Source organism: Homo sapiens, chromosome 4, assembly GCF_000001405.40.
Source record: "Homo sapiens chromosome 4, GRCh38.p14 Primary Assembly".
Lineage (NCBI taxonomy): Eukaryota > Metazoa > Chordata > Mammalia > Primates > Hominidae > Homo > Homo sapiens.
In genome coordinates, this window is record NC_000004.12 from 161,195,549 (window position 1) to 161,201,548 (window position 6,000).

Consider the following 6,000-nt stretch of genomic DNA (forward strand, 5'->3'; position numbering starts at 1 on the left):
TCAAATTCAGTCCTTTTCTTAGCTCCTCATGTCCTCTTCAAATATCATCAGACAGTTTTAGATAAACAGTTTTATCTAACCTGTTTTACTGTAATATTTTTTTCTCCATTTTCATCCTCAACGTATCTCTAAATTAAAGAAGGACATCCTATTTTCCCACACTTTGAGAGTATGATTTTATGGCAAACCATAAAATCTTCTCTGTAGCCAGGAGCAATGATGACCATCTTGTAGGCATATGTCTAAGGAGGTTATCTCTTTCCATTTCCATAAAGTTGAAATCTCAGTAAGTGCTTGTACATCTGTTAGGAAAACTGAAAAGCGAGCAAAACCTTTATTATGAAAGCCTCAATATTTCAAGTCAGCGAATCTCACTCTTTTTTAAAAATGTTGTGTTCCAAGATGTGCAGGGTATTTAGCAGGTAAGATGTTTTCATTTTGGGGGTAAGAAGTTTATAATCTAAATAGAAATTGCAAAAGTTTACATTTGTGTCATATTTGACACATGCAGATCAAAAACTAGTTTGTATCTGGACAAGATATCAATGATCATTTGTTTCATGTTTTCTGCCGTTTCATTTAAATCCTTTTGAAAATCAAGATAATTTGAAACTCTACCTTTCAGATTAAACTGTACCAAAGTTCAACATACTTGGTAAACCTAGGGAGCATGACTATTGATAAGATCCCCATAATTATTATACTGTAAAAGACCAAAATGTCTGTTATTAAAATATTCCTTTGTGTCTGCCCACAGGATATTCTGTTGTCACCTCTGAGTCAGAAAACGTATTTTACTCAGTTTGTACATACCTCAAGGGAACAATGGGGAAGTGTGTGTTTGTTCCTGTGGTTTGCCCATGCTAATGTAGCAGTCACTATTTTCCATATACGATTAGTGTCTTTTTGGGAAATGAAAAATCTTTTGGTTGGTTTAAAAGCATTTGTATGTCTCATCCTGGATGTGAGAATTTCCATCGCCATGTGTGCTTTCACATGCTCTGCTCTGCCAGGTCCAATCATAAATTCTTCTCTGCGGATTGTCTGATAGGCTCTGTTGTGATTATTTACCGCCCTGATCTAGTTGTATGTGTCCTTCCATCTGCCATTCAAATGACACAGTTGGTTAGCCCTCTTTTTCACTGATGTCTGGCTCATCTTGGCATTGGTATTGTAATCATTCATTCTCATTATTATTATCTTAATTCTTAGAAAATTTGGTCACAATATGTTAAAATGTCTTAAATCATAAAAATTAAGCCAGCATTATCATGATACAAAGCATTACAATTGAGTTTGCCATAGGAAAAGTCAACAATAAAATATTAACATTCGCAATTATAAACACAAATTGCACACGTAAGTCACACAATTGGGAAGGATGCAACAGTGAGTGATCTATGACTGCAGATAAGAGTTGCTCATATCAGAGGTCAGAAAAAAGAGCAGAGACTACTGAAGGCTGATAGTCAGTGACATACCCATTTAACGCTAATAACAGTGTTGATTTTAGGCCCTATATTGATGACTACAATATGGGTTCTATATTTTCTCCCAAACTTTGACCCTCATTCTAAAAAATAAGACTTTTCAAATCCTGGAGAGGAATTTTTTCCAAGGTGCAGCATTTTTATTGCTAAAATAAAAGAAATCCCAGAAAAATTTATCTGGACAATTTTTCATTCCATTGTATTAAGCTGTAGCAACTATTTTGCCTACATGACAATACATGGAACAAACTACCTAATTCTTTTTTAGAAAGCTAAAAAAGCACTGGAAAGGAGAAGACAGAGAAGCAGCATGTTTGTTTGACTGGCACATTGGCATCCAGCAACCTTGCTGGGAAATGGAACAGCAGTTTATCAAAATAACAAACAGGCTAGGTACAGGGCTCATGTCTGTAATCCCAGCACTTTAGGAGGCTGAAACGAGAAGATTGGTTGAGCCCAGGAGTTTGAGACCAGCCTGGGAAACACAGTGAGACCCAGACTCTACAAAAAAAAAAAAAAAAAAAAAAAAAAAATTGCCAGGCATGGTGACATGCATCTACTCAGGAGGCTGAGGTGGGAGGATAGCTTGAGCCCCAGAGTTTGCAATGAGTCCTGTTTGTGCCCCTGCACTCCAGCCTGGGTGACAGAGCAAGACCCTGTCTCAAAAAAAAGAACACACGATAGTCAAAAATATTAGCATGTGAATAGATGTATACACATGAGACAATCTCTGAGAGTTCTTACGAGTAAAATCAGGAGACTGGAAATAAATGTGTGTGTGTGCGTGTGTGTGTGTGTGTGTGTATACTATAAATCAAAAAGTTTCTGAGAGACATCTCCATTAATTTAAAGGTTTACTTCGCTAAAGTGGAAGACGCACTAGAGAAAAAGAAATACAAGTTACAGTAAGATCTGTGGCCTATGCTTTTTTCAAAGAGGATCTTGAAGACTTCAATATTTAAAGGGGAAAGAACAAGCATGAGGGGGAGGAGGGAGAAAGAAAAAGAAGGATAGGCGATGAGGCAAGTGGTTACATTCTTGTGAGGCTTTGATTAGAGCTCACTGAATCCACATTTTACATGAGAAAAGAGAGGAGTGGGGAAAAATGTCAAATATGCATTTGTGTCATGCTTGGTAGATCTACATTTTACATAAGACAAAGTAAATGTAAAATTATAGCTGTCTGTCTGGAATTTTTCAAGAGGCAGTTTTTTCATGACTCCATTCCCATGCTCAACTTTCCCTTTGGCATAGTGAGTTTGGGGCACTGAGATTTTACTTTGCTTTTGTAATACACACATGCACACACATATATGTATATATATACACAAAATTTCTTCCTCTTACAGTAAGTAAACAAAATTATTATACACACATATGTACATATATATTATATATACGTAATTTTACTGCTTTTACAGTATACCTGCTATTTAAACCACATATGACTAAACTTCTTAAATTAGGTTCCATTATTACATACATATGATTTTGCTTCTGGAAGGCAGCAAGATTAAAATAAAGAGTAATAAAGGAAAGAGAGAAAAAAGAAGAGAATATGAGAAAAACTGTTCTGAAAATTAATTAAAATTAGATGGAAAAAATAAAAATAGAAAATATTAAAGATATGTGTATTTGAATTGAACAAGATGAAATAATTAAGAATCTTAATATCTACTAGAAAATGTGTCAGGATTACTCCAATAATGTTGTAAATTTTATTAATATTTTTGATGGATTTAACATTTTATTAAATGTACTTTTATTATGGCAAAAATCACATTTAATAAATGTGATGGCTTTAAGTATTCCTAGCAAAGACTGAAGTGTTGCAAATTAGAAAATATGTATAATCATCTACCGATATTAATTTCTATTCAAATACTTCACACTACCTATTATGCTATCAAAACATGTCTCAAAATCTTAGAAGTATAGTAGTAGTCACCTTTTCTTTACCATTAATATCACTTTTATTTGAAGAAAGAAGTGCTAGTATTTTCTATTGAGCAGATCAGAACACGTTATTTGTACATTGCTTTGTTTTTTCAGTGTAAATACAATATATTTTATTAGTTTTATTCATTTTATGGGAGTTACATATATCATTGACACTAATTTCCAAAAGGCATAATAATGTCCATTTCTTTGAGGATGTTTAATAGATTAATACACCCTTTCTGATTCAAGCTGCATAGAACCTATTTAAACTGTCACCCCTATGCAAGTATTCACTACTATAGGTTAGATATTTGTAGTGTCTTAAAATAGTGCTATTCTGAACCTAAATCAATAGTTACAAGTTAAGTTATATATTTTTGTAATGAATTATTTTATATCACAGGCACATTTTTAAGTAGATTATGTAAAGAAAAGAAGAATAGGAATTTATAGACAATGGTGGTAAATTTACTTGTAATGGTGTTTATGGAAGATTCTTTGATTTCTTTGATATATTTCACATATATATGAAGTCTTATATTTTTCATAATATAAATTACATATTATAAAGGGAACTTCAGGTGTTGCATTTGTGAATAATATGAACAAAACTCAAATTATTGAGAGACATAGAGAAAAATGTCATTGATTTATTGCTGAAAAGCAAGAGGAACCCTATGTGTGCTGAATTTGGAATAAAGCATCAGATGAAACAAAAATTTGTGCTTCAATTGAGATTAGTGGAAAAAACTCACAGCACAACAGGAGAGGAACTGTAGAGGATAATGGAGTTTTGGGCATGCGATTAGAGATGAGAAAAGAATCTCAAGTGATCATGTAATGAGTCATGCATTCTAATCATGCTGATCTCTATATTCAACACATCTGATATAATTTGTTCTAAATTATCGCCCATTTTCTTCTCAAATATCATAAACCTCTTCTGCTCAGTGTTTAAAATAGAAAACAGATCAATGTATTTATTCTCATGTGTACTTTTTAAATAATTCTTAATATTGTGTATAAGAAAAATATTCATTGTCAAAGACATTATGCTGATAACTTAAAATATTACATTTATTCAAATGTACATTTAATTTTATATGTATTGTTGGATTTAATCTGACATTTAAATTGGAAAGAAATGTACACATAATCATTAGGTATACATAGGCCATACAGCAATGACTTTCTACTGTGCGAAGTATCTCATTCTATACGCCTAACTTTGTAATCACATTTCTTTTGATAAGTTGATGGCATTCCCAGATATGAGTTGAAGGATGTGCTTAATAACTTATTCCAGGGATCACTATCTAATGTTTCTCTTATTTTATTACCAGTGCATATAAAATTATTATTATTATTTTAGTTTTACTGTGGTCTAATTCCTCTTCTAAAAGTCCAAGGAGTTAAACTGAAAGTAGAAAAAAAATAAGCTTTAGCTTGATTCACTCCAGGTCTACATTTGCAAAATGAGAAGGCTGATGGAGTCTGCTCAGCAGCTCCAGCCTTGCTCTCTCTCACTGAGAAGATGAGAATCCTTTAAGGCCTCAAAATTTAGAATGCTAAACCTCAGACTTCCCACAATTTAAAAAGGTATGGCATTAATACAATATATATATTGTCATACTAATGATATTATAAACATAACACTATATATAACTCCTTCTACCTACACCCCAGAAAGAAAAACAGTATCTCCACGCTATAGAAGGTTAAAAGTATCGAAAATGTACATAAAGAACTCTATACTTAGATTTGTCAAACACCACAACAGAAATTCACTGGTAGCTGCTGGAAAAGAAGTAACAAAAAAAAAAAATCAGACACAGGATGTCAATCAGTCTTCTTCAGTTGTCCAGAATTCATGACAAGTGAACTTAAATAAATTTGGCAAAAATAAAGAAAACACCAAGATTAATATGAATGCTATGCATTTATCATTGTGGGCAAACAATTTAGTTATGCATTACCTCTTAATTTTCATTACTTGTTTTAGTATCATGTTTCTTTGTTTAATGTCATTATCTGGTTGTTTGTAAATGGAGTGAAGACCAATATTTGATAAGGAGAATGAGTAAAGTTTTTTGATGAGGAGCTATTTGACTTGTATTAAATATGACCATAATCCAGTCAACAAAGAGAGCCATGATTTATTGGTGATCTCTCTGATATCCCAACTGTCAACCCAAAGAGTCAAAGTTTGTTAAACATTTGAAGAGATTTATTCTAAGCCAAGTATATGTGACCAGTGACCCATGACACAGCCCCAGGAGATACTGAGAACTTGTGCTCAAAGTAGTAAGGCTACAGCCTGGTTTTATACATTTTAGAGAGGCATAGGACATCCATCAATACGTGTAAGATATACATTGGTTTGGTGGAGAAAGGCAGGACAACTGGAAGCAGGGGTTTCCAGGTCATAAGGCAATTAAAAGATTTTCTGATTGGCAATCGGTCGAAATAATTATTATTTAAAGACCTGGAATGTCTAGGTTAAGGTAGGAGGTTGTGGAGACCAACCTTTTATCATACAGCTGAAGTTTTCAGGTAGCAGGCTTCAGGG

At 33.2% G+C, this 6,000-nt stretch overlaps 1 annotated feature.

Moving 5' to 3' along the window:
* Positions 2,205-2,839: an enhancer, noted in NCBI's record as "OCT4-NANOG-H3K27ac hESC enhancer chr4:162118905-162119539 (GRCh37/hg19 assembly coordinates)". NCBI's record gives its function as "activates a minimal SCP1, AML or CMV promoter by ChIP-STARR-seq in primed H9 embryonic stem cells {active_cell/tissue: H9 hESC(primed)}" and the evidence as "EXISTENCE:reporter gene assay evidence [ECO:0000049][PMID:30033119]".